General features: G+C 52.5%; 1 protein-coding gene across 10 annotated transcripts in view, besides 8 other annotated features; it reads right to left on the reverse strand.

Moving 5' to 3' along the window:
- Positions 1,335-1,851: an enhancer, noted in NCBI's record as "H3K4me1 hESC enhancer chr9:100957663-100958179 (GRCh37/hg19 assembly coordinates)". NCBI's record gives its function as "activates a minimal SCP1, AML or CMV promoter by ChIP-STARR-seq in naive H9 embryonic stem cells {active_cell/tissue: H9 hESC(naive)}" and the evidence as "EXISTENCE:reporter gene assay evidence [ECO:0000049][PMID:30033119]".
- Positions 4,207-5,074: an enhancer, noted in NCBI's record as "H3K27ac-H3K4me1 hESC enhancer chr9:100960535-100961402 (GRCh37/hg19 assembly coordinates)". NCBI's record gives its function as "activates a minimal SCP1, AML or CMV promoter by ChIP-STARR-seq in naive H9 embryonic stem cells {active_cell/tissue: H9 hESC(naive)}" and the evidence as "EXISTENCE:reporter gene assay evidence [ECO:0000049][PMID:30033119]".
- TBC1D2 (TBC1 domain family member 2) overlaps positions 4,952-26,506 on the reverse strand; it is a 56,652-nt gene continuing 35,097 nt past the window's right edge. For 2 of the 10 annotated variants that reach the window (NR_051978.2, NM_001267571.2), the window contains 7 exons: positions 19,062-19,172; positions 16,610-16,797; positions 14,622-15,098; positions 9,242-9,362; positions 7,433-7,618; positions 6,207-6,328; positions 4,965-5,542 (listed from right to left, as the gene is read on the reverse strand). Coding sequence is in view for 8 of the 10 variants with exons in the window: in NM_001267571.2 (NP_001254500.1) it covers positions 5,335-5,542; positions 6,207-6,328; positions 7,433-7,618; positions 9,242-9,362; positions 14,622-15,098; positions 16,610-16,797; positions 19,062-19,172 (1,413 nt within the window). In the remaining 2 variants the exon portion in view is untranslated. The other 8 variants (XM_011518843.3, XM_024447606.2, NM_001267572.1 and 5 more) reach the window with 8 other exon arrangements.
- Positions 5,075-5,942: an enhancer, noted in NCBI's record as "NANOG-H3K27ac-H3K4me1 hESC enhancer chr9:100961403-100962270 (GRCh37/hg19 assembly coordinates)". NCBI's record gives its function as "activates a minimal SCP1, AML or CMV promoter by ChIP-STARR-seq in naive H9 embryonic stem cells {active_cell/tissue: H9 hESC(naive)}" and the evidence as "EXISTENCE:reporter gene assay evidence [ECO:0000049][PMID:30033119]".
- Positions 7,183-7,684: an enhancer, noted in NCBI's record as "H3K4me1 hESC enhancer chr9:100963511-100964012 (GRCh37/hg19 assembly coordinates)". NCBI's record gives its function as "activates a minimal SCP1, AML or CMV promoter by ChIP-STARR-seq in naive H9 embryonic stem cells {active_cell/tissue: H9 hESC(naive)}" and the evidence as "EXISTENCE:reporter gene assay evidence [ECO:0000049][PMID:30033119]".
- Positions 7,330-7,379: an enhancer, noted in NCBI's record as "active region_28694". NCBI's record gives its function as "activates an Ori minimal core promoter by ATAC-STARR-seq in GM12878 lymphoblastoid cells {active_cell/tissue: GM12878}" and the evidence as "EXISTENCE:reporter gene assay evidence [ECO:0000049][PMID:35858748]".
- Positions 7,685-8,184: an enhancer, noted in NCBI's record as "H3K4me1 hESC enhancer chr9:100964013-100964512 (GRCh37/hg19 assembly coordinates)". NCBI's record gives its function as "activates a minimal SCP1, AML or CMV promoter by ChIP-STARR-seq in naive H9 embryonic stem cells {active_cell/tissue: H9 hESC(naive)}" and the evidence as "EXISTENCE:reporter gene assay evidence [ECO:0000049][PMID:30033119]".
- Positions 8,808-9,308: an enhancer, noted in NCBI's record as "H3K4me1 hESC enhancer chr9:100965136-100965636 (GRCh37/hg19 assembly coordinates)". NCBI's record gives its function as "activates a minimal SCP1, AML or CMV promoter by ChIP-STARR-seq in naive H9 embryonic stem cells {active_cell/tissue: H9 hESC(naive)}" and the evidence as "EXISTENCE:reporter gene assay evidence [ECO:0000049][PMID:30033119]".
- Positions 24,721-25,015: a silencer, noted in NCBI's record as "tiled region #378; K562 Repressive non-DNase unmatched - State 16:ElonW". NCBI's record gives its function as "represses a minimal TATA promoter and a strong SV40 promoter by Sharpr-MPRA in K562 cells {active_cell/tissue: K562}" and the evidence as "EXISTENCE:reporter gene assay evidence [ECO:0000049][PMID:27701403]".

The raw sequence follows: 26,506 nt of genomic DNA on the forward strand, positions 1-26,506 counted from the left end.
GGAGGCCAAGGCAGGTGGATTGCTTGAGCTCAAGAGTTCAAGACCAGCCTGGCCAACATGGTGAAAACCTGTCTCTACTAAAAATACAAAAATTAGCCGGGCGTGGTGGCATGTGCCTATAGTTCCAGCTACTTGGGAAGCTGAGGCAGGATAATCACTTGAACCTAGGAGGTGGAGGTGGCAGTGAGCCGAGATCACATCACTGCACTCCAGCCTGGGCTACAGAGTGGGACTCTGTCTCAAACAAACAAACAAACAAACAAACATATGGATGAAATCAGAACATTGTGGGAATTCTTTATAATCATGGTTTGGTTTTTACTTGAATTACAGCTGGACGGTGGGCACCATGATCTTTCCCAGGCTAAGGCATCTGAATAACTTTGTTGTTGTTGTTTTTGCATGGTTTTGTTCTGTCGCCCAGGCTGGAGTGCAGTGGCACAATCCTAGCTTGCTGCAGCCTCCACCACACAAGCTCAAGCAATCCTCCCACCTCAGCCTCCCGAATGGCTAGAACTACAGGTGCGTGCCACCATGCCCAGCCAATTTTTATATTTTTTGTAGAGATAGGGTTTCGCCACGTTGCTCAGGCTGGTCTCCAACTCCTGGGCTCAAGCAATCTGCCTGCCTTGGCCTCCCAAAGTGCTGGGATTACAGGTGCGTGCCACCACGCCTGGCCTTGAATGTCTTAATTCACTTAGGGCTTGGGCCAGCATCTCTGGTGTGGCTTTCTACCTCTGCCAATGCCACTCGCCTTGCACTCTGACATCTCTGAGCCTTTGCTCTGTCTGCAGTTCTCTTCCCAAATCATCATCTCCCTTGTCTAAACCCACTCATCCTTCCAGGCCTAGCCTTCCTAGATGTCCTATGGATGTGCCCTCCAAGGCTTGCACCTGCATCTTCCTACCCTGTGCCATGGTGGTTGGTGGCTGGGACTGTTTGGGGAACAGCTGGTTTGACAGAGACATCTCTGGGGGCTGTGGGCATATGGACCCATAAGCCAGAGGGAGACCTCTGCAATGAACCTGGGACCCTTCCTGGGGTTGCTGTGGCTGGGGAGTGTCCTCCTCTCTTGCCCCTTCCCTCCCTCTAATCCTGGTCCAGATGCAGGATTGCACACATGGGGAAACTGAGGCCACAGTGGGCATGACCTACGCAGGATCCCCTAGCTAGAAAACCACATAGCAGATCTGGTTCCAAAGTTGGGCCCATCTCCTGGCATCTTCTATTAGGCCTTAGTGTGGATTGGGATGGGCCAGGAAACCTCCCTCTTCCTTCCCAGTGCACCCACATGGCTGGCTTTGTTAATCTTCCATATGTGGGTAAACATCTTGTGCAGGACCAGAACATATGTGTGTGTGTGGTGGGGGTGGGGGGCAAGTTCTCCATCTATCTGCCCCACATGGAACTTTCTGTACGATATGGCCCCATGTCCATGGGGGAGGGGGTTGAGAAAGAATGAGGAGACAGTGCCTGGGGGTTGGGGAGGGGTCTGTGTTTGGAGGATAGTAGCCTTGAACACGGGCAATCTCTGGAAGTGAGTGAGCACCTCTTATGTTAGGGGTTGTTGGGAGGGGGGCCTTCCACCTCCTTTGACCCAGTCCCTTTATTCTTAGGGATGTTGCCCCAGGGAGGTTCCCTGGGTAATTCCCTTTTCCTCTCCTTTAGAGCAGGTCGGACCACAGCTTGCTGGGGGCCTAAGGCCTGGGGAAGGCATGCTTTGAGCATGAGGTCCTGTCCCCTAGGGTGGGAAGGTGGGGCTGAGAGGGATCGGATCCTCCAGCCCTGGAAGGCAGCAGCCCCAGGGGAAGGGGGCAACAGCTGTGGTGCGGGCCAGGAACCTGACACCAGGAGTGGGCCCCAAACACCCTCCAGAAAGAGCAGGGAAGGGCAAGCAGGCGCCCCAGGGGCAGCAACAGCAGGCACAGATGCTCTGGGGTGGGCCCACCAGTCCCTGCTCAGCCTCCTTGCCATGTGGGTATCATGCTTCTCTTGTTGTCTCTGATGAAGGGGAGAAATAGTGCTACAATCCCAGCGTGAGGCAACCATGAGGAAATTCTTCCTCTAGTTTTCCTTGGCTTAGAACTATCTTCTGAGGGTATCCCCAGGAGGCCACAGGCCAGGCATGCCCCTTCCCTAGGTCCTTGGGGAAGGTGTTCTAGGTTCCACAGGTGGGTTAAGCTGGGGGAGTCCTCCCTGGCTTTGCAGTAAGGGCTCTAGGCTTGAGCATGGCTCAACCAGTGGCTGTGTCACTTTGGATAGGTTAGCTAATGTCTCTGAGCCCTGTCTACTCGTTGGTAACCTGAGCTTGGCCTGGGTGAGTTGATGCTGCAGGACAAGCAGTTCTCAATCCCAGCTCCCTGTCAGGGCCTGAGGAGGCAGTTAGCCCTGTGTCCCGTGTCCTGTGTCCCCAACCCTTCCATGTATCAGAATGCCTGGGCTCCACCACAGGCTCCAGGCATAGGACCCTAGCACCAACATTTTTAAAAAACTACTCAGGTGATTCTTTTTTTTTTTTTTTTTTTTGTGACAGAGTTTCGCTCTTGTTGCCCAAGCTGGAATGCAATGGCACGACCTCAGCTCCACGCAACCGCCACCTCCCAGGTTCAAGTGATTCTCCTGCCTCAGCCTCCCGAGTAGCTGGGATTACAGGTGCCCACCACCATGCCTGGCTAATTTTTTGTATGTTTAGTAGAGACAGGGTTTCACCATGTTGGCCAGGCTGGTCTTGAACTCCTGGCCTCAAGTGATCCACCCGCCTTGGCCTCCCAAAGTCCTGGGATTACCAGCGTGAGCCACGGCGCCTGGCCTACTCAGGTGATTCTCAGGTGCAGCCAGGTAGGAACCAGAGGTTACATTATGCTGGGTCAAATACAAAGTACCACCCACCCCTCTCCACAGGAGGGGAGGGAAAGAGCACAGACACTCAGCTCTGAGCAGAGCTTCTCCTCTGCCTGGGGTTGGGGGGATGTGGGGAGACGGAGGAGAGAGGAAGAGAAGTGGAGAGGGGGAAGAGAGGGAAGAAGAAAAGGGGGGAAGAGGGGAGAAAGGAGGAAGAAGGGAAGGAGAGGAGAATGGGGAAAGAGAAAAAGGGGGATGAGGGAGGACGGGGAGGAAGGAGGGAAGGGGAGGTGGAGGAGGGGGAGGGAAGGGGAGGGAAAAAGGTAGAGGTGGGCTGCCATTTATCCAATAGCCCCTGTGCCCGTTGCCTGATTCTTTTTTGATTGTTGTTGCTGAAGAGGGAATGTGAATTTCAAGGCTAAAGGCAGAGGGACCGCCTGGGCCAGAGCTCCCAGGCAGCCTTGGGGCTTTTGCAGGCCTCAGGGCCCTGCAGGTGGTGTTTCCTTCGTAAGACGGCTGCTCAGGCCGGGTGCGGTGGCTCACGCTTGTAATCCCAGCACTTTGGGAGGCTGAGGCAGGCAGATCACGAGGTCAGGAGATTGAGACCATCCTGGCTAACATGGTGAAACCCTGTCTGTACTAAAAATACAAAAATTAGCTGGGCGTGGTGGCGCATACCTGTAATCCCAGCTACTCGGGAGGCTGAGGCAGGAGAATCGCTTGAACCAGGGAGTCAGAGGTTGTTGTGAGCCGAGATTGCGCCACTGCACTCCAGCCTGGCAGCAGAGGGAGGCTCCGTCTCAAAAAAAAAAAAAAAAATAGGGCTGCTCGTTCCCATCGGTGGCACTTTCCTCTGTGCCAGGCTCCAGGCTCTGCACCAGTTTACCTGCTTTAGCCCTCCTGGGAGCCCCATGGGGCTGGACCTCTCATCATCCCGATGACCAACTTAGGGGCGCAGTATCTAGCTTGTCCAGGGTGCAGCTGGGACCCCCAGGCCGCCCTCATGCCACCATCACACTTCATAAACAGTTTGGTGCTGAAAGGGCCTTAGCGAATGAAAAAAGTTTAGCAATGAGAAAGGCAGTCAAGCCCCAATGCAGGGTGTTCACAGAAAAGTGGAGCCCTCGGGCCAGCCAGGAGCCCACGTGGACAGGGAGGAGAGGAACCCTGAGCGTCTCCTCCCTGAGGCTGCACAGGCGGTGCAGTGTAGGGAACTGGGAGCCTGGTGGGCCAACCCCTCAAATTCACACCTGTGGGTGACAGTGGGGCTAGGGACCAGCCAGGGCCACCACGGGGCCCGTCCATGGTCCCCAGTGATGGGGAAAGTTTCCTCCCCAGCCTGGATGGGAGCCTCAGATCAGAGCCAGGAGGTTCCAGGGCAGCGTCCCCTAATCCTCGGTGGTTTTCCAGAGAGGAGGCTTCCATGTGAGAACCCCCAGTCCTTCATACCAAAGACAGCCAACTCAAGGCTAGGCCAGCACAGACACAGGTTTTGCTGAGAAATGAGTTGCCAAAGTCACTGGTATGGCCTTGACCCCCTGCCTCGGGTGGGGACAGACTGAAGCCTCTATTTGCTGAGGAGGGACCTGGAGGAGGCTGACGCTGGGTTGGGGCCACGGTGGGTGCTGTGACGAGCCAGCCCTGGCTTGCGCTGCAGCAGTCCCTACTTCCCACCTTCTCCCATCCTCCCAACCACCCATTTTTCAGAGGAGAGGTAACCCTCCGTGCCCCAGCCTGTGAAGTGGGCAGTGGGAGGTCACAAGTGGGGCACCTGACCCAGGGCTCTCTGCCCAACCCCCACACCAAGTTCCTGGTGGTGGTGCACAGGGGGTTTCCCTGGGATCCCCCCAAAATGGGCTGTGAGCAGAAAGGAGGGCACAGGGGCCGGGCTTTGGAAACAGGCTTCAGTACACGGAGAGCGTCCCGGAATGCAGACCCAGGCAGTATTGAAAAGGAGCTGCTACCCAGAAAGACAAAACCCTAACATCTCAGGGAACCAGGCAGGGGCTGGCCCTGCAGACGCTCACAGAAATAGCAGCCAGAGATGCCCTAGGCTGGAAGCCTGGTGGTGGCACACCCTGGCACCGTGGGCCCATCCAGGAACAACTGGTAACTGAGAACTGTTTAAGTTCCAAAGCTTATGAATGATTTCCACCATTTACATTGTTTTATATTGATATAACCTAGAGAATGTTCCAGGTTACCCTATAGAGGCAGTGCTCTTGCTTGTTTACATGCCAAAGTGCTCTGTGGAAGAGGTGACGAAAGGGTGGCATCCCTGGGTAAGTAAGTGCCTATGAAGAAGTAGCCCAACCAATGGCTTTGCAGCACACAATGTCCCAGTGGGGAAACTGAGGGCCAGAGAGGGGAAGGGACATGTCCAAGGTCACATGGTGATGGGACACCCAGGGCTGGGCCACTGGTCCGTGCCTGACCTCCAGTGGGTCTGCCAGCCAAGGGTGAGGAAGGCTGTGGGGAGGGGAGGTGGCCAAGTCAGGCTTCCCCCTCCACCTCGTCCTCGCTGGCACAGCCCTCGGACACAGCTCTGCGCCGGGATGCCCGCCTCTCCAGGTACTCTGCCTTAAGCTGCTCCAGCTCCCGCAGCTCAGCCTCCAGCCGCTCCCGGTGGACCATGCGCAGCTGCCGCAGCTGTTTCATGCGGAAGGGGTTCATGTCATTGAAGGCGATGTTCATCAGCTTCCTGGGAGGAGGGCACAATCAGCCCAGAGCACGTCACCCCACCTGGCCGGCGTTTACCCGGCTCTCCCAGACAGACATCCCCGCATTCCTTCTGCCTTTGTGGCTGAGCCCTGACCCCTGCCCTCAGGAGGAAACAATGAATAAGATGATTTCCACCCACAGAGATATGTACTGAGGCAGGAGGAAGATCAGAAGAAAGACACCTAACCCAGCAGGGAAGGGCTGGTCAGGGAAGGCTTCTTGGAGGAGGTGACCCACGTGTGAGCTGAGTTTTAAGGAATGAATAAAAGGTGACCAGGCAAAGAAGATAGTGGTGGTGGAAGTGGCAAGGAGGCATTCTAAGTAAAAGAAACTGCAAGAGCAAAAGCCCAAAGGTGGGGTTGTCCTAGGAACTCGTATAATTCTGTTTTCCAGGATCACTGGCCATGGGTGTTCAGGGTAGGGGAAGGTGGGCAAAAAATGAAACTCCATGGAGGCCTCAAATGCCATGTTAAGGGGGCAGACATATCACTCAGACAGTCAGACTTCCCCAAAGATTTCTAAGCTATAATACGAGCATCAGCGTCACTTACCAATCTCTACTTGGCAAACATCAGCCTCCCCTCTGCTATGTGTCCTTGGGGGTGTGTGAGTGGTGGGAGTGGCAGGGGGTGGGGGTTCCTCACCGGCTGTTGGAGATGGTCTTGGTGAAGAAGCGCAGGTACTGGTAGATTTCCAGGCCATTCTGTAGCCTCAAGATCTCCTTCTCGTTGTACTTGAAAATGGCCAAGGCATAGCGAAACACCACCTGGGGGTAGAGTGGGGGCTCAGGTAGGGCATGGGGGGGCCAGGCAGGTCATCCCCGGAGGGAGGGAACCTGACAGACTTGGGCAGTATGGAAGACCCTGGACTGGCTGCGGAAGTTGAGGCCTGGAGGCACAATGTGTGGGGATAGGCTCCAGGGGGCTGGGGGAGACTGAATACCCCGGCGGGGTGGTGGGGGGGCGGGGGAAGGGACGCACAGCTTGAAATCTGGGGATTTGGACAGAGTCCTGGCTCTAGCCTGTCTTGTCCCATGACTGTGGGTGAGGCACGGCCCCTGTTGAATCTCATGGAGTTAATCTGTATCTTTACGTGGGGCTTTGGCAAGAACCAGATGAAATGACAGGCCAGACACAGTGGCTCATGCCAGTAATTCCAGCACTTTGGAAGGCTGACACGGGTGGATCATCTGAGGTCAGGAGTTCGAGACCAGCCTGGCCAACATGATGAAACCCCATCTCTACTAAAAATACAAAAATTAGCCAGGTATGGTGTTGCATGCCTGTAATCCCAGCTACTCCGGAGGTTGAGGCAGGAGAACTGCTTGAACCTGGGAGGCAGAGGTTGCAGTGAGCGGAGATCGTGCCACTGCACTACAGCCTTGGTGACAGAGCAAGGCTCCATCTCAAAAAAAAAAAAAAAGAAAGAAAGAAATGAGAAATCTGTGGGTGCTTTGTAAACTGAGGTGTAAACTAGGGCTGAGTTGGGGGACCTGCCCAAGGTCTCTGGGCAAGGTCAGTACAGAGCTGGGTCCAGACCTGAGCTCCGATCTCTTAATCCAAGGTTTAGTCCAAACAGGAGGAAGAAAAGGAGGGCCCAGGTGACTAGGGGGCAAGGACAGCATAGGGATGTGCCTCTCTGATCATGCTCACACCTCCTCTCCACGGAAAGGAAATCCCCCAACTTCAGAGGCAGAACCACTACTTCTCATACATGCAAAGCATTTTGCAGTTGACAATGCTCTCAGGAGACGTTCAACAGCTCTGACAAGTAAGCATTGTCTTCCCATTCTCCAGGGGCAGAGTCAAGACGCAGATGGGTGAAGGGACTTGCTCAGGGGCCCCCTGCCCATCCCCTGGCTGCACCCTACCTTCGTCCCCTCGTACAGGAAGGCATCCCAGACCCGAAGGAGGATGTTGCTAATGAGACTGTCCGCAAAGACCACGAGGAACCAGTTGAAGGTGACGAGGGAGAGATCCACGTGGTGCTGCCCCAGATGGGCCATCAGCCTGGGCAGCTTCTCCGAGAGCAGGTCCTGGAGCACCCGCTGGTCCACCTGGAAGCCAGCGAGAGGGCCTGTCATCTGCAGCCCCAGCGTAGGGCTGCCTCCCTCCCTGCCCAGCCTTCCTACCCAGTCAGTCCACACACAATCCTGAAGCTGCTCTGGGCAGGTCCTTTCCTGCCCAGGAGACACCTCGGGGAGCCAGGGGCCAGTCTAGCTGGGAGTCAGGTACAGCATCATATCACTCCGCTGCTCCTAATATAGGCCAGAGTCCTCTGGACTGGGGCACTGGGCTCTGCAGTGGAGCCATGTGGGCTGGCACGTTCTCCGCCCGCTCACCCATCTGAATCCCTTGAGCCAAGCAGGAGGTCAGGGGCCAGCTGATCCTGCTGGCAGTTCAGAGACACTGGTCTCATGCCCAGGGGCCTTGGCGAAATGGAAGCTTTGTCTCTAGGCTTATATCAGCTGACAACCACAGCCCCTTCTCTATACCCAATTTGTGCCTGACACCTAAGATGCTAGGCGGATGTCTGGTCCAGGGACAGGTGTGTGTGGGAACGCATAATGTCCTGCCTCGCCGGACATCAAGGAATCTTCTCAAAACAGGGTGCTCCTGGCGACACTGGCCAGTGACCTCTTCTTGTGACCACTGTCATGCCTCCGTCCTTGTTTCACTGGATGGGTTAACCACTCTCAGCACTGGCTCCAAGACATGGTTCTTTCGTGGTTCTCCTCCTCCCTCTGTGATGACTCCATTTCAGTTTCCCCTTGCTTTTCCTGGAACTGCTCAGTCCTCTCCTCTCACTTATGTCCTCTTCCAGGCATTAGCGTCAGCTGTGGCAAACAGCCAGTAGCTCCCCTCCTCCCTCACCCAGAACCTTGGGTCATCTACCGAGGCCAAGTGTCCAGTTCAAAACCTAAGGTAACTCCCCAAGTCTAAGATGCCATTGACCTACTGAAGGATTTATGGATGAACTGATACAATGCCAGAAATTTACTTCAAGACAAAGCAGGAGGAGCGGATGGGAGTTCAGAAGAAATAACACTGGCTCCCTGGGTTGATAACTGAAGCCAGGTAATGGACACATGGAGGTTCATTATACTATTCCCTCTATCGTTTTGAATGTGGGAAATTTTCCATAATAAAATATGGAAAAAAGGGTCATATAACACACATCAATTTCAGAGATGTTAAGATGTAAAAATTAAATATGTACATTTCCTAACTTGCCTTGCAACTAGGGCAGCCATGAAATAGTTCTGACCAGTAAACTGCAAGTAGAAATTGCTGGGTCAGGGAGCCAGCTCCTGGTGTTCACCTTCTGCTTCTCCTGGCCTAGGCCATGCCCACAGTGCTGGAGGCGATGCAGCCATTTTGTGACCAGGAGGTGATGGGTGTGAGGATGAAGGCCACCTGCCAGAGATGGCAGAGCAGGGAGCTAGGAGCCTGAACCCTGCGGTACTGCCTTGTCATTCACTATCTGAGAATAATAATCCCCGATTGAAGCTGTTGTTAGGTTGGGCTTCTCTTCCATGCAGCCAAATGCACTCCCACAGTGCAGAGGGAGAAATGGAAGCCCGAGAGATTCCCAACTTTCCTGAGAGTCACAGGCTTCTAGGAACAGCTCTGGGGCACTGCCCTACATGGCTGCAAAGTCCCCTCCTGGCCCCACTTACCTGGGATGCCGTCAGCGTGTTGCAGTAGTAATCAGCGGGCATGATGGTCTCCACAATGGCCACCAGGCACCAGAAGGCGCTCTCCTCCTCCTCTAGGACCAGCAGGGCAATGGCCGCCAGCCTGGAGTAGTAGGGAAGGCCTGGAGTGATTACAGAAGCCGTGGCCCTGCCAGGCAGCACATGGCAGAGGTGGCTTCCTGGGTTCCAGGGGGAAAGTCCTTCCATGTGAGCATCAGTGCAATCCCACTCCCTAACCAGATTTGTGCTCCTGGCACCTGGGGTGAGATAAACGCTCTTTTGGGGAGGATGACCGGCGATTTCCAGAGCAATGGGGGTCACTTCAGAGCAGGGGCTCTGAAATCAGGCTGCTTGGGTAAATCCTGATCTTGTGGCTTCCTGGGTGACCTTGGGCAAGTTACTGAACCCCTGTAAGCCTCAGTCTCATAATAATCACAGGACTATTTTGAGGATGAACAGAGCTCATTCAGTGCCCCACACAGTGCCTGCCACACAGTGAGCTCTTTATAAATGTTAGCTATCCTCACCTTAGTATTCACAGGCTTTGAGACCTTGGCAAGTACACTAACCTCTCTGGGCCTTGGTTTCATGATCTGTAAAGTGAGATTAACAATATCTATCCCCCCGGGGCCAAGAGGCATCTTGAGACAGACCTACCTTGCCTCGCTCACTGCCTGGCATTTAGGAGGTGCTCAATGCACATAGCTTTTTTTCTCCTTTACTTCCCCTCCCCGCCAAGTTAGCATAAGGCTCTAATGAAATCATGGGTAAGAAACAAACAAAAACCCACAGGGCTGAGCAGGGAAGTCTTCCTGGGATAAGTACTGTTTTCTCTACTTCTCCCATCTTCCCTGGCAGCTCTCATCCCGGGCCAATCCAAGAAGTCATTTTCCAAAAATGTCTTCCAGGGACTACTGGTCTCCCAAGATGCTAGGTGAACACAAGGTTCTATATTCAAAGATATCTGGGGAATGCTGCCCATTCTAGCCCCTGAGAGGCTTATGACACACACTGTCTTAGTAAAGCCTCTGAGAAGTCCTGTGGTGACAAAACGCTGTGTGGCTGACTCTAACCCAGGGTCGCCCAGGGGGTCCACAGAGCCCCTGTTGTCCATTGCACCCATGGGGGCCTAGTAGAATGAATGTTCCTCAGAGGACCCTGGAGAGATGTCGCTTTAGAAAGCCTCTGACTCTCTGGTCATAACGAGCATTTAAGGAACACATTCCCTCATCCAGATATTTATGCTTCTTTGGGTTCTCTCTAGATTGGATTCATGACCTCCACCTTCTTTTGAGGCTCACAACTCTTAGAAACATGGTTGAATCTCAAAAGAAAAAAGAAATATCCCTTCTCTTTCCCCAGTAGATTGGGAAGGAATTTCTCCCAAATTTGGTTCAGATATTTGTACAAAACCTTCCTAAGTCGAAGCTGAGTGGATGAAGAGAACAGTCACAGGTCTCCTGGGAAATAGGAAGCTCCGTTCTCTCAGAGCTGGTGGGGAGGGACCTCCATAGGTCACTGAGTTCAAGGATAGCAAACGTGAGATACACTGGCCTCTATCCTTTTCGTCTGTGCCCAGGGCAGACATAACTAACTGATCATGGCAGCATTCCCTTTGTCTAAGCCCATGGTAGACATAAGTAATTGATCACAGTACTCTTTCCCACTGAGTCTGAAGGCTGCCTCAGAAACTCTCTCAGGACAGGGCTCCAGGTAGCTGCTTCCTACTGGTCATCTCTGGTCTAAACAAACTCCTTATTGCAGTGGTGGAAAAACCAAGGCTTAGAAAGCAGAAGTTACCTGCTCAACATTACATAGTCAGTTGGTGGCAGAGTGGAAACAGAACCCAGGGCTCCCAAAGTCTAGCCCAGTGCTCTCTCCACTCTATCCCACCCTGTTCCCCCTGAGCCTCAGAATGGCCTCAGTCTAGGGAGTTAGCTGCCAGCATTGGTTTAGACTTCAGCACATGTTAAAAACTCAGTTATCTGAGGCTGGTTGCTAGGGCTTACTAACTGCTCAGGTGTATGGCTGAATTCGAACCTAAGGCATTTAGGGCCCAGGTAGGCTTGCAAAGAAAGGAGTGTGTTGATGGGGGAAAAACAAACCACTTTTAGAGCACTGTACTTATTTTCATAGGTTTAAAACATTTGCTCTAAATTAGCATTAGACCATCACTAAACAAGCTGGATTTGTTGCCTTAGAGGCAGGGTCTGTCATCTTGAGACATCAAACATGCAGTTCCTTTTCTTTTCTTTTTTTGAGACAGAGACTCACTCTGTTGCCCAGGCTAGAGTGCAGTGGCATGATCATGGCTCACTGCAACCTCTGCCTCCTTATCACCTCAGCCTCCCGAGTAGCTAGAACTACAGGCATGTGCCACCACACTTGGCTAGGTTGTTAGGTTGTTTCTTGTTTTTCGTTTTTTTAATTTTTTGTATTTTTTGACAGGGCTTTGCCATGTTGTCCAGGCTGTCTCAAACTCCTGGGCTCAAGGGATCCACCCACCTCGGCCCCTCAAAATGCGGGAATTACAGGCGTGAGCCACGGCGCCGGGCCCACACATGCAGTTCTAATGGCTACCACTAGATGGCAAAGAAGACGTATCAGGGACCTGCAGGCTTGGGTTTAGAGCCTCCAAAAGAATACGTTGCACTTGCCACATTTGAACAGGCTTTCTATTATAAGTAACTTTCTCTTTTTTCGAGATGGAGTCTTGCTCTGTCACCAGGCTGGAGTGCAGTGGTGCGATCTCGGCTCACTGCAACCTCTGCCTCCCTGGTTCAAGTGATTCTCCTGCCTCAGCCTCCTGAGGCAGCTAATTGTTGTATTTTTAGTAGAGACAAGGTTTCACCATGTTGGCCAGGATGGTCTCGATCTTTTGACCTCGTGATCTGCCTGCCTCAGCCTCCCAAAGTGCTGGGATTACAGGCGTGAGCCACTGTGCCTGGCCTATTACAAGTAACTTTCTGTTTTAAGCAGTAAATATTTACATGAATACCAATTATCTGCATTTGCATATCAAATTTAAGTAAAAATGCTATTCAGAGAAAGATATTTTAGAAAACCCGTCTGGGGACCTTCCGCCTCTCTTGGCCTCAGTTGTCCCTTCTGCGCCTCTCTGTGGCCTGTGTGCTGCCTCCTTCCACACAGGGAGAAGCTTCTCTCCTCCTATGAGGCTTATCTCAAGTGCCCCTCCTGCCATAGGATTTTTCTCTGCCCCTTCAGCACAGGTTGAACTCCAAAAGCAGGTCTCGAGAAGGTTACATCCACATAGGGGAAAGGTTTCTGGGAGGCCTCAGCACAGCCTCTGACTACTGCTATTTGGAGAGAGAGCAGGTTGTAGAAAGGACTGGGTTTGGGGGCTGGGGGCGGGGGGCCAGGGTGAGCAGTTGGCTGGGTCAGCATTTGTGGTGAGACAACGGGCAGGTTCCTCAGCCTCTCAGACCCTCTCATGTCTCATCTGGGCATGGTGGCACCAGTGAAGGTTTTTGTGAGGATTAGATGCCATCAGGTGTTAAACACCTGGCATCCAAGAGGCCCCCATTATGCTTTACTTCCTACCTGGCTTTTGTGTGAAATGCAAAAATTATTATTCATTCTGATCTCATAGCTTCCAGCTCCCTTCACAGCTATTCTTAGAAGAGGCTTTGCAGGTTTTGTTTCTTCTGGATTTTAACATGTTCAAACAAATGAGAAGTACAGGGGCTTTTGTCAGACTGTTGAATGAATGAAATTTCTACAGACCTGACCTGTGGCAGACGTTTAGTGTGGCATGAAATCTGAACATATTTTCCAAGGAGGCTTCGACTGAGAGGCATTACTGTTGGAGTTTAACTCTTAATTCCCAGGAATTGTACATACACATGCTCAATTTCACCCAATTTTAGGCTGGAAATAGAGTATGAAAAATATCTACCTTTGGGAACCACTCAAATTTGAGTAAGGACACTGAATGTTGATTCTGTGTTAAATAAATGTCACACACCACCTATTCTAAAAAAAAGCAGCATGGCTTATGTAAATTTTGCTTAGGTATATGTGTGTTTAAATTAAATCGAGTGAAAACTTGCTTTGGGAAAATATTTGCAACTATGCAGCTTCTACTGAAATAGCTGGGGCTGGAGCGGGGGGATGACAGTCCCTCACAGTCTTGGAGGGGAGATAGCCCTGTGAACCAGGTGACCTCATCCCCTAACCCCAGTCCCTCCCTGCGTCCCCTACCAATTGGACCAGAAGTGGAAATTATTCCTGGCTGGGCCAATCAGATTTTTTCTTTGGGGAATTTAGAACTGGAACATGAGGGGTGGGGTGGGAAGACTCACTGAAAGGCTCAAGACTCAGGGGCTGAGGTCTCCATTCTAACAGCTTCGATGGTCCCTAAATGTCCAATGAATGAATGGACAGAGGCTGGTCTGCTGAGAGAGAAGGAAGCAGACACGCAGAATGAAGAGAGGCCAGAGGCCATGCAGCTGCAGAGGGCAGCAGAGCAGTACCTTGGTGCTATACGAGCTCAGGTCATGGCATCCCAGGACTGTGGCATGAAGGCTGCCCCCTGGGGTTGTGCAGGGGTGCAGCCCTGCTGCAGACAGCAGCTGCCTTGGCTTCCAATGACCATCTGGTCCTCAGCTGTGTTTTCTTTTCCTGGCTTCTGTGAACTCCCCTTGTAACATTTAGAAAGTCTCTTTTCCCCGGGTCTTCTGCATGGGTTTCACTGAAAGCGAATGATTCCTGATCCAGAGAGTCCTGCCATATGTGAGTGGGGCCTTACCCTGTAGATTCCAGCAGGCCAAAGTTTGAGAGGCCATGTAAGTTGTACGTCCCCAAGCACAAATCAAAGGAGAGAGCAGGGACGAGGGGCCTGGAGCTCTGAGCTCTGGCCCATCTCTGTCTTGAACATGTCCTCTCACCAGCCTGTGGGTGGGGAACCTAGGCTCATGTCTTCAGGTTCTTGGGAGGCTCCAAAGAGAGACAGCAGTGCTCTAAAACAACGGTCCCCAACCTTTTTGGCACTAGGGACCGGTTTCATGAAAGACAATTTTTCCATGGACTGGGGTAGGGGAGGGGTGGCTTTGAAACTGCTCCACCTCAGATCATCAGGCATTAGATTCTCATAAGGAACACATAACCTAGATCCCTCGCATGCAGAGTTCACAATAGGGTTCACGCTCCTGTGAGAATCTAATGCTGCCGCTGATCTGACAGGAGGCAGAGCTCAGGTGGTAATGCTCTCTCGCCCACTGCTCACCTCCTGCTGTGCGGCCCCTTAACAGGCCACAGATGGCTGCCTGTCCACAGTCTGAGGGTTGGGGACCTGCGCTCCAAAAGGTAAAGATCACACCTTCACTGGGCTTTGGTGGCTTACCTGTTCAGGCCCTGGCAGTAGCCGATGGTGGGGTTCTGCCAGGAGAAGGCCAGCAGCACCCGGCGGAGCTTGTCGGGGAAGCTGGAGGTGGGGCAGGTGAAGTGTTTGTTGTTGGGGAAGGTCCGGTTCAGGTCCAGCTCAATCTGGCGGGCAGCAGGGTGCTCGCGGGCCTGGCCCCGGCTCAGCAGTTCCTGGTAGCAGCCTGGAGTGTGCAGGTGCTGGACACGGAGGTGGACCAGCCACCTCCAGACACGAGGCCGGTGTTCACGGGGTACTCCTGCCCGCAGTAGCTGCTTGAGCTCGGCTGAGGGCACAAGATCGCCCAGGGCAGCCCAGCGCTCCCTCAGCGGCCGATCCACAGCCTCGAGGCCCAGCAGGTGGTGGGATCGTGACTCCAATGCCTGGATCTTGGCCAGCAGCTTCAGGTCTTCCACCTCATAGTCGGGCACCGTCAGGAAGCCGTACTCATCATACTTACTGCCAGCAAAAGTGCACGTTAGCAACACCTTGCAGAGCCCTTCCCTAGATAAGGGGTGGTGGTGACAGGGAGGACCCCAGGCCAGGTTCCTGCCCTGCCTTCACTGAGGGTTAACCACACAGCTCTGGGCAGGTCACTTCAGTTCTCCCAACCTCAGATTGCGAATCTGTATAATGCATATGGGAATCCCTGCTCTGCCTCCTAAAGACCCAACGAGATCCTCTGTTGTAAGATGCTGGGGGCCTAGATAGTGCCTGGTACACAGTAAATGCCCAAGAGATATTTACTAATTCTATGCAAATATAAAGGACCCTCTTATTACTCCATGCAGCCTTAGGCCCAAGGAGTCCTGCACTGTGCATACAGAACCCCACTTACCACAGCCAGTAAGCGCAGGGGTGGACGGGGAACAGACAGCACCAATGACAGACAGGTGGGACAGCTGGGGACCCGTTCCAGAAGGCCTTTGATTTATTCAATGTTGACTCACCTCCACTCTGTGCCCTGCCTGCACTATCTCATTTAATCCTAATGATCCTGCAAAGCAGGTGTGTTTGCCTAAATCTTTTTTTTTTCCTTCCTTCCTTCCTTCTTTCCTTTCCTTCCTTCCTTTCCTTCCTTCCTTCCTTCCTTCCTTCCTTCCTTCCTTTCTTTTTCTTTCTTTCTTTCCCTCCCTTCCCCCCTTCCTTTCTTTTCTTTTCTTTTCAGGGCCTCACTCTGTTGCCCAGGCTGGACTGCAGTGCTGCAATCTCAGCTCATTGCAGCTTCTACCTTCTGGGCTCAAGTGATCCTCCCACCTCAGCCTTCCGAGTAGCTGGGACTACAGGCGTGCACCACCACTCTTCTTTTTTTTTTTTTTTTGTAGAGACAGGATTCCAATATATTGCCCAGGCTGGGCTCAAACTCCTGGCCTCAAGCAATCTGCCCATCTCAGCCTCCCAAAGTGCTGGAATTACAGGCATGAGCCACTGTGCCCAGCTCTTTGCACATATCTTATGGAGGCTGAGTACGAGGCTCAGAAAGGTAAAGGGAATTGTCACACGGTGAGAGGGCCAGGGCTGGCTCCAAAGCTCGAGCTCCTGCCACTGGACTACTCAGCCTCCAGGGGCCTTCGAGCATAGCCACCCTCCTTTCTGTTATATTTAACTGCCCATGTCCACTGTGCTCAGCAAGGCCTTGGTGCAGAGGAGATGGCCTGCTTGTCTCCCCTCGTCCCCTCTCTGACAGGCACATCTGGGAGGCAGCCACATTTGGGAGGCAGCCTAGATAAATGGAAAGCATGGGGCTCTGGAGGCAGCCTGTGCCGCAAATGTACTATAGGGCCATGGCAGGGGGCTGCCTCCTCTGAGCGTGAACCATCTCAGCTGCAGCCGCACACTAATGCATGTGAAGATCAGAGGAGGTAGTGCTGTGTAGGACTTGTACATGGTTGGCAGGACCTGGCAGCAAGGCAGCTGGGGAGGAGCCGCCAGCTCACATAGACCAGCCCTTCCTGGGCCGCCAGGCTCACCTGATGGGGCTCAGCTCGATGCTGTCAGATGAGGCCTCCCCAGCTTCCCACTGCAGTGCCTCCTGGACAAGCTGCCTCAGCAGCTCTGAGCACTCGCTGGCTTCGTCCCCCAGGGCCTCCTGCAGCCTTCTCAGACCGGCCAGGTACTTGCTTTCCACCTGGCAGTTTCTGGCTTGGAGGTAGGCGCACTGCAAACAGGGAAAGGCTGGTCAGGCTACCGGGTGGGAGCTGGGCCGCCCCAGAGGCCTGAGGCCTGAACAGCTTTAGGCAGCACAGCCCTTCCAGCTCTCATCTGCCCCACTCCCAACTCCCAGACCTTCGTATAAGGGAAAGGAGATGGGCCCTGAGGCCAGTGGTTTACAGCAAGGCAGGCAAGAGAGGCCCAGGCCCAGGTTGGAGCTGGTTCAGAAGAAAGAGGAGAGGGGTGTGCAGAGACAGCACAGGCTCTTACACAGCTTACAGTCCCATCCTGGTTCAGCCACTGCTAGCTGGGTGGTCTGTGGCAAGTTACTTAACCTTTCTGTGCCTTAACTTCTTCATCTGTAAAATGAGGATCATACAGAGTCTGCCTGAGGATTTGGGTGAGGATCAGATGAGCGGATGTGTATAAAGCCCTTCCCAGGGTGCCTGGCACAGAGCAAGCTCTGCAGGTGGTATGACTGAACAGCGCCCAGGGGATGGACACTGCCCTCATGCCCTCTGCTGCTGCCACCTAGGCTCCTTCTGTTCCTCCAACACACACCCCTCCCACTTCACAGCCCTCCTGCACCCTCTTCCCTTGCTTGGGACACTCCCCCCAACCCTACCTCACCTTGAACTTTTGTGTTTACATTTATACAAGCTGGGTGGTGCTAGGCAAGTCAGGCAAGTTCCTTGTTTTCCATTTTTGTGAGATGGGGACAGTGAAAATCCACTCATAGCACTGCCATGATCTCTGGGCCACCCCGAATCCTATCTCATCCTGGGGTGGCAGCAGGGGAACAATTCTGTTGCACCCTTGCCCGGTCGCCATCTCCAAACACTTGCCGGGCACCAGCTCCAAGCCATCCTCTGTGCCTGTTCTTCTACCTATCCCACCTGGTGCCCACCTCTGTTGCCTGGGCTGCTTCCTGAGTCCCATCGTTAACACCTGTTTCAGGGATTCCTTTTTTTTTTTTTTCCTGAGAGAGTCTCGCTCTGTCATCCAAGCTGGAGTGCAGTGGCATGATCTTGGCTCACTGCAACCTCTACCTCCGGGGTTCAAATGATTCTCGTGCCTCAGCCTCCTGAGTAGCTGGGATTACAGGTGTGCACCACCACGCCCAGCTAATTTTTGTATTTTTGGTAGAGGCGGGGCTTCACCATGTTGCCCAGGCTGGTCTTGAACTCTAGCCCCAAGGGATCCACCTGCCTCGGCCTCCCAAAGCGCTGGGATTACAGGCCTGTGCCACCGCACCTGGCCCCTTCTCAGGGATTTCTGCTGCTGATTCCAAACAATCTCCCTACTTCCAGGCCCACCTTCTCAAGCCCACCCTCCTGAGCAGTCACAGCAGTCTTCTTGGAACAGGAACAGAAGTCTGATTGAGGACTTCTCCACTCAGAATCCTTCAGCTCCCCAGTTTCCTTGGAGTAAATTCCAAACTCCTCAACTCCAGCCTCATGTCTCACTCTCCCTAGCCCTGCCCCCCACCTCTCAGACCACACGTCTTTACTATGCTGTCTCTTTTCCTGGAAGGTCCTTCTCCACTGCTTGCCTGGATAACATTAACTCATCCTTAGGACTCAATTCAGAAGGTACCTCCTCCAGGAAGCCCTCCCTGACTTTCCTTCCTCCCTTTGGGCCCCCAAGAATCCCACAAGTCCAAGTGCATCTTTTTTTTTTTTTGAGACAGAGTCTTGCTCTGTTGCCCAGGCTGGAGTGCAGTGGCGCAATCTCGGCTCACTGCAAGCTCCGCCTCCCAGGTTCACGCCATTCTCCTGCCTCAGCCTCCCGGGTGGCCGGGACTGCAGGCGCCCGCCACCATGCCCGGCTAATTTTTTTTTGTATATTTAGTAGAGATGGGGTTTCACCGTGTTGGCCAGGATGGTCTCAATCTCCTGACCTTGTGATCCACCCGCCTCGGCCTCCTAAAGTGCTGGGATTACAGGTGTGAGCCACCACGCCTGGCCCCAAGTACATCTTGATTGGGTTACACTCCCTCACTAGTCTATACCCTCCTTGTAGGCAGGAACCAGCCTTATTGGTCTTGATGTCCCTACCCCACAGCTACTCAGTGAACGCTGCGGAACAAATGACTCAATCCCCCGACCACAGGGGTCTGGAGAAGAACCTGATATGGGCCCTGCTCACAAGGGGTCAGTTCAGAGGGAGAGGGGCAGACAGGAAATGAGGAGAGTGAGACGGAGTGGGCAGCATGGGGACCAGCAGAGGGGCCAGGGATGGAGACGGCTGGAATAGGGCCCCACCCCGCACCTTCGTCAGAAGGGCCTTCTCCTTCTCAGCCACCTTTCTCCAGATCTTTGTGACCTGGTGGATCTCGGAGTTGAGGAAGCAGTTCTGGGTCCGGTAAGCTTCCATGTCATCCTGGAGAAGAGAGTAAAATATGTTATCAGTTGGACATAAACATCTCCCTGGTCCTGGGGAGTCACACCCTCAAATGAGCCCCCAAAGCTTCTTTTCCTTAGAAATTTCCAATAATGGCAACAGAAGAGGAAGTCTGAAAGAAAAATAAAATACTCATAGCACCCTTCTCTATTCTTGATGTCAGCATGATGTGGTAAAGGGACCAGTAGGTCTGAATTTAAGTCCTGGCTGATGTTCTGGCTGGAAGGCCTCAGGCAGGCCACTGAACCACTCTGACCCTCTGTTTCCTCATCTGTAAAAGGGGCAAATACCAACTAACCTACTGGGCAGTTGGGAAACTAAGTGAGATAATGTGTGACAACACTAAGTACAGGGACCAAAACATAGCAAGTGCTCAAGTAGTGTTTGTTTTTAAAATCAACATATTTTATCATATATTTACAATCATACTGTAAAATTAACTCAGTGTCACTTTGTAAAACCTTTCAATGTTGCTACATAAGCTTCCCAGTGATCATTTTTAACCTCTGGTGATGATTCTATTGGGTGAATTTACCAGAACTTACTCATAATCCTTTTCCTGTCATTTTTTAATTTGAACCTGGGGTGTTTGCAGTTGGTTTTTGATTATGAATAATGCTGTGATAAACATCTCTGAGTTTTCCTTTTGCAAGTTGCCCATCCAGTGGAGGGAATGAGCTCCCTGCTGCTGGGGCATACAAGGAGAAGCCAGACAAGCACTGGGAAGGTTCAAGCAAGGACCTGAGCCTCAGAGAAGGATCAGCTATAGCAGTGGCTCTCAATTCTGCTGGGATGGACATTACAGAAGCCGTTCAGTCACGTAACACATTCTTAGAGCTATACCTCACAATTCCAGGGTATTTACTGGCTGAAACTCAGGCCCTTTCTCTCCCATTGATGTATGGGCTGGAGGTGAGTGCAAGCGATGCTGCAGCAAGGATGACTCCGACATGGCCAGGTTGATTTGGAAATGAAGAACATCACATGTGCAAGCGATGCTGCAGCAAGGATGACTCCGACGTGGCCAGATTGATTTGGAAATGAAGAACATCACATGTGCAAGCGATGCTGCAGCAAGGATGACTCCGACGTGGCCAGGTTGATTTGGAAATGAAGAACATCACATGTGCAAGCGATGCTGCAGCAAGGATGACTCCGACGTGGCCAGGTTGATTTGGAAATGAAGAACATCACATGTGCAAGCGATGCTGCAGCAAGGATGACTCCGACGTGGCCAGGTTGATTTGGAAATGAAGAACATCACATGTGCAAGCGATGCTGCAGCAAGGATGACTCCGACGTGGCCAGGTTGATTTGGAAATGAAGAACATCACATGTGCAAGCGATGCTGCAGCAAGGATGACTCCGACGTGGCCAGATTGATTTGGAAATGAAGAACATCACATGTAGTTTGGGGCACATCCTCGTCAGGGTCACATGTGCACAGCCCACAGGTGGTCCTGGCCCTCCCTGGGTGGGTCTTCACTCTGGCCAAGATGATCTCCAAGGTCTCCCCAGGCTGGAAGCTCCGATGCCTGCCCAGGGGCTGCTGCCCTCCGCCCAGAGCCTGACACACTAGAAGGGCCTCTGCTCCCAGGGGAGGGAACGAATGCCCCCTGTTGACTTTATCACATCACCCCTCACCACTCCACGGGGGCTCTCTGTGGTGCCCCAACCCAGGCCACCCCTGCTTTCATCTCCCTCGCTGTGCCAAGGCTGAAAGGCTGTGCATCCACTCAGCTTGCTCTCTGCCTTCTGGCTGGACCCAGGCAGTTCCAACCCCTGGCGCCACCCTCCTCCCCCTATCCAATCCTGTCCCTGACCTAGATAAAAAACCAGCTTCACTGCCTCTCAAAAATGCTGCTGTGTGCGCCAGCCGCTCTGCTGGCAAGTTTCTGCCTGCTTCTTCTCCACAGTCCCCATATCCTATCCTTATGTGGCAAGAAGTGAAAATCTTGTTTGTGGCACAGGGACCAGTCTCCCATGAGCATCAGGCCTTTCCTGGACCACTCCCCACTCTCTCTGGAGTCTAACACTTTACTGTCTGGAGATATAGAAACTTATGAATACAGAGGCTGTGCAGGCTTCCGGCATCACCCCCATCACCAACACCACGCAGCATATATTCTCTCACTTCATCCTCCTAGCAACCCTAGAAGGGATGTTCTTTTATTATTCCTATGACACAGATGAGGCCTCAGAGGCTCTGAAAGGGTAGGCAACTTGCCTAAGGCACAGCCAGTATAAGGCAGATGTGACCAAACCCAGGTCTGTCTGATTCTTTTTGTTTGTTTGTCTTGCTCTGTCGCCCAAGCTGGAGTACAGTGGCGTGATCATAGCTCATGGCAGCCTCGACCTCCTGGACTCAAGCAATCCTCCCACCTCAGCCTGTCAAGTAGCTGGGACTATAGGCAGGCACCACCATGCCTAGCTAATTTTTTGATTTTGTAGAGACGAGGTCTCACTATGTTTCCCAGGCTGTTTTCAAACTCCTGGCCTCAAGCAATCCTTCCACCTCGGCCTCCTAAAGTGTTAGGATTACAGGCATGAGCCACTGTGCCTGGCCAGGACTGTCTCATTCTAAAGCCCTAATCACCAAACTTCCTGCCGGGCACCATCTGAGCTCCCCACCAGCTGGAATCCACCTGGATGCCCACACTCTAGTCCCTACCCTCCAAGCGTTGTCCTTTGGTGTCTCCTGGCTACACGCATGCAGGCTTATGTGACCTCTCCTACCCATCAGACAGTATAACAACACATCAAAGACGCTGGAGTTGGCCATGTACCGGCACCGCCTGGTGGTCAGTGGCATGAATGCTGCGGGCACGCTGTCTGGGTGGAAATTCTGTCTTGACCACTGAGCCCCTGGACAAGTTACTTAACCTCATCCTCTCATCTGGAAAATGAGGATAATAACAGTACTACCTCATGTGGCTGGGAGAGGATTCAGTGAGTTAATATGTGCAAAAGGCTCAGAACGGTGCCTGGCATGTGGCAAGTGCAACGTGAGCGTGAGCATCGTCTCCCTCACTGAGTTTGCATGACAGCTCGAGAGCTACTATTCCCCACCCTGCACCCACCCCCTCAGTCGGCTCACAGAGTTCGGAATCCAATGCCCGGGAAAATACAACAAGCCCCCCCGCAAGGGAGGAAAGGACCTACCATGACCTGACCCATCTCCCTCATATCCACAAGGCTGTGGGATAACTATTAAAGTGCCCTAATTCCCATTTAACAGATGAGGAAACACACACAGAGAAAGTAAGTTCCCCTTGTCACGAAAGAGAGCCAGGATCCAAACCCAGGTGTGTTCAGCCCATGGCAGGTGCTCAGCAGACACTGCGTAGAGAAAGCAGACCCAGCTCTGGCGCTGGCCACTGCTCCACACCACTGGGTCTCCCTCCTTGATATCACCCCTTCCTCCTCCCAGGCCTAGATGTGCTCATGGATATTTATTTATTTTTCTTTCTTTTTTTATTTTTAGAGAAAGGGTCTCACTTTGTCACCCAGGCTGGAATGCAATGGCATGATCATAGCTCACTGCACTCTTGACCTCCTGGGCTCAAGTGATCCTCCTGTCTCAGGCCCCTGAGTAGTTGGGACTACAAGTGTGTGCCACTACACCCAGCTAATTAATTTTTAATTTTTTAAAAAGGTCTCATTATGTTGCCTAGGCTGGTCTCAAACTCCTGGCCTCATGCAATCCTCCAACCGTGGCCTCTCAAAGCACTGGATTGTGAGCCACCACGCTTGGCTACACACTGTTATTTCTAAGGCTTTGGAAAGAAGGCTTTTGTCACATAAGATACCCTGCTTCCAGCTCTAGGGAAGGCACAGACATGCCGGACAGGGAGGCAGAGTGAGCACAGCCTGGAACAGCAGTGGCAGTGGGTGGCGTCGGGCAGTACCTCCCCCTCCAGCTCGATGCCCTACCTTGAGTGCTCGTCTTGGCTCAGAACTGTAGGGAGGAAAAAGAGAAACCTCAGAAAAGAGAAAAGCCACAGGACAGTCACCAGTGGAATGAAAGAAGGAAAACCCTGGAGAAGGGGGACCAGGGAAGCAGGAGCCCGGGAATTCTCTTTGGGCCATGCCCATGGACTAGGCCCTGTGCTGTGTGGAAGGCAGTGGCCTGGGCATGGGAGGCCAGGTTCCGGCTGTAGCCCTGCCTCTTGCTGCCTGACCCTGGGCCAGTCCTTCTCCCTTGCCCCAGCTCAGCTGTCCCTGCCAGAAAATGAGTGGGGCAGACTAGATTTCTGAGTCTTTCCAGATCTGATATTCAAGAGGTCAGTGATCCTGTTCTCAAAACCAAAGTCTGAATAACAAGGGGCATTCCCTAAAGTTGGGTTCCTCAATCACAGGGCAGGCAGGAAACCTCAACATTCTCTGTCCTCAAACTCAAGACAATGGATATTTGATGGGTATTCTAAAAGCTAAAAACTAAGGAACACCAACTACATGCAACTCTTTCTCTTTTTTATTTTTTTTTTAATAGAGACAGTGTCTTACTCTGTTGTCCAGGCTGGAGTGCAGTGGCGTGATCACAGTTCACCACAGCCTCGAACTCCTGGGCGGCTCAAGTAATCTCCCACCTCAGCCTTCTGAGTAGCTAGGACTATGGCGGGTGCCTTCATACCTAGTGAATTTATTTTATTTTTTTTTAGAGACAGGGTCTTGCTATGTTGCCTAGGCTGGTCATGAACTCCTGGGCTTAAGCAATCCTCTAGCTTCAGCTTCCCAAGTAGCTGGGACTACAGGCACGTGCTACTGTGCCTGGCTAATTTTTTAATTTTTTGTAGAGATGAGATCTTGCTATGTTTCCCCGGCTTGTCTCTAACTCCTGGCCTCAAGTAATCCTCCTGCCACAGCCTCCCCAAATGCTGGCATTACAGGTGTGAGCCACCCATGCCTGGCCTTATGCAACCCTTTAAAGCACAAAGCACAAAACACTGGGCCTCTGAGGATCATATGCAAGTGTATTCTTGGTTAATGTGAATCACATACCCAGAGTCTCCATGTAGCTGAGCTCACTGATAAAGAAAATTCATGGCCAGGTGCGGTGGCTCACACCTGTAATCCCAGCACTTTGGGAGGCCGAGGCAGGCAGATCACGCGGTCAGGAGATCAAGACCATCCTGGCTAACATGGTGAAACCCCGTCTCTACTAAAAATACAAAAAAATTAGCCGGGCATGGTGGCGGGCACCTGTAGTCCCAGCTACTCAGGAGGCTGAGGCAGGAGAATGGCGTGAACCTGGGAGGCGGAGCTTGCAGTGAGCCGAGACCGCGCCACTGCACTCCAGGCTGGGTGACAGAGCAAGACTCCGTCTCAAAAAATAAAAATAAAAAAAAATAAAATTCCTGAATATGTAAATTCAGGGGCACACTCAGTCTCCTAGTGAGTCCATGATTACAATCAACTCTCAGGCTGTCTGGAGCCACCTGGCTGATCTAGTGTTCTTTTTTTTCCTTTGAGATGGTGTTTCACTCCTTCACCCAGGTTGGAGTGCAGTGGCACAATCTCAGCTCACTGCAACCTCCACCTCGTGGGCTCAAGCGATCCTCCCACCTCGGCCTCCAGAGTAGACGGGAACACAGGCGTGCGCCACCACAAATCTTTCTGACCCCTGTGCTGCTCTACCGGGGCTTGCACAGTGGATTCCGGCAGTATGGGTGGAGAGAAGAGGAAGCCGCCTGGCTGGGGGCAGGCAGGGTAGAAAAGCAATCAGATGGAAGCAGTTTTCCCTGCTGTGTGGAGGGCTGAGAGCTTTCTAATCATCTGGCTGCATTTGCATTGGAAAGGTTATGTTTTTCTTTTAACCCAAAAGAATCTCTGATTTCAGACTAAATAAGGGAAAAGATTCGGGAACTGGTTATGTGGGTTTTCAGTCTTTGCTGAAAGAAAGGGAAGGGAATCAGGTTTCACGTCCTTTTCCTTTATCCTTCTAACAGCCCTAGTCAAGAGGACTAGTTGGGCTATTTGACACAGAGGTGAGCTAACATGCCTAAAGTCACACAGCCAGAAAGAGGCAGAGCCAAGAGTCAAAGAGGTCAGTCTGACTTCAAAGCTTGGGTGGTGGCCACTGTTCAACACTGCCCACTGAGAGCTTTTCTCTCAAAAGCTTCCTGATTTCTTTTTTTTTCTTTCTCCATCTGCCCTCACCGAGTAGTTCTTTGATAGAGTAGCATGAGAGTTCTCAAGGTTATAAGTCTATATGTACAGTCTCGTGTGGCTTAATTATGAGGATACACTCTGAGAAATGCGTCATTAGGTGATTTCACTGTTGTGCAAACATTGTAGACTGGACGCAGACAAACCTAGGTGATTTAGCCTACTACGCACCCAGCTAGATGGTGTAGCCTATTGCTCCGAGGCTGCAGACCTGTGCACCTGTTACGGTACTGAATACCATAGGTGGCTGTCACATAATGGCATTTGTGTATCTAAACACATGTAAACATAGAAAAGGTAGCATGTTGTGCTATGATGTTATGACGGCTATGATGTCACTATGTGACAGGGATTTTTCTGCTTCATTGTAATCTTATGGGACCATCACATATGCAGCCTGTTATATGGCATCTGACTGTACATATGTGGTTGTGAGTGGCAGGGTTTGGGGCAGGACGAACTCTGGTTGTATGGCTCCCTTTACGGACAGTGGAGGCTATGAGTGCACTCCACAGCCACAGGCCTCCCAGTGGGACAGTTCCTGTCACAACCCTTTAGAGAGGAGGCTGCGGGTCACGGCAGGCAACACACTTCACATAAAGTTCCTACCTCCTGTGACATCACTGGTCCCTGTGGGGTGGGGAAGCCTAGGGAAAGATAGGGACAGAGAAGGGGAAGGAAGGGGAGGAAAGGAGGAGCAGGGATGGTGGCAGCAGCTAGAAGCGGCAGCTGAGCAGACAGACCAGACCGCAGACATGAGCTCCAGCCCAGCTCCAGCTCCTCCACTTCTTCAGCACATGACCCTGGGCAGGCTCCTTAACCTTTCTCAGCCTCAGCATTCCACATCTGTAAAGGGGGAGCACACCAGCGGCTGCCTCACCTCACAGGGCTGGCGCGAGGACTAAATGTGGCGATGCACCCACCGAGGGCAGTGCCTGGCACACAGGAAACACCCTATAAATTCTACAGATGGGAGCAGTGACTATTGGCAGCTGCAGGTCATCCGTACAGTGTGCAGGCGCAGGACTGTGGGGGGAGGGTCGTGCTGGCCCCTTAGGGCTCTCGGGTGCACTGGGATGGCACTAAGGGAGGTTGACCAGGCCAGGCCCCACACTTAGCTAGTCAGGCTTTCATCTCTCATTTGA

The sequence above is a fragment of the Homo sapiens genome, chromosome 9 (assembly GCF_000001405.40).
Source record: "Homo sapiens chromosome 9, GRCh38.p14 Primary Assembly".
Lineage (NCBI taxonomy): Eukaryota > Metazoa > Chordata > Mammalia > Primates > Hominidae > Homo > Homo sapiens.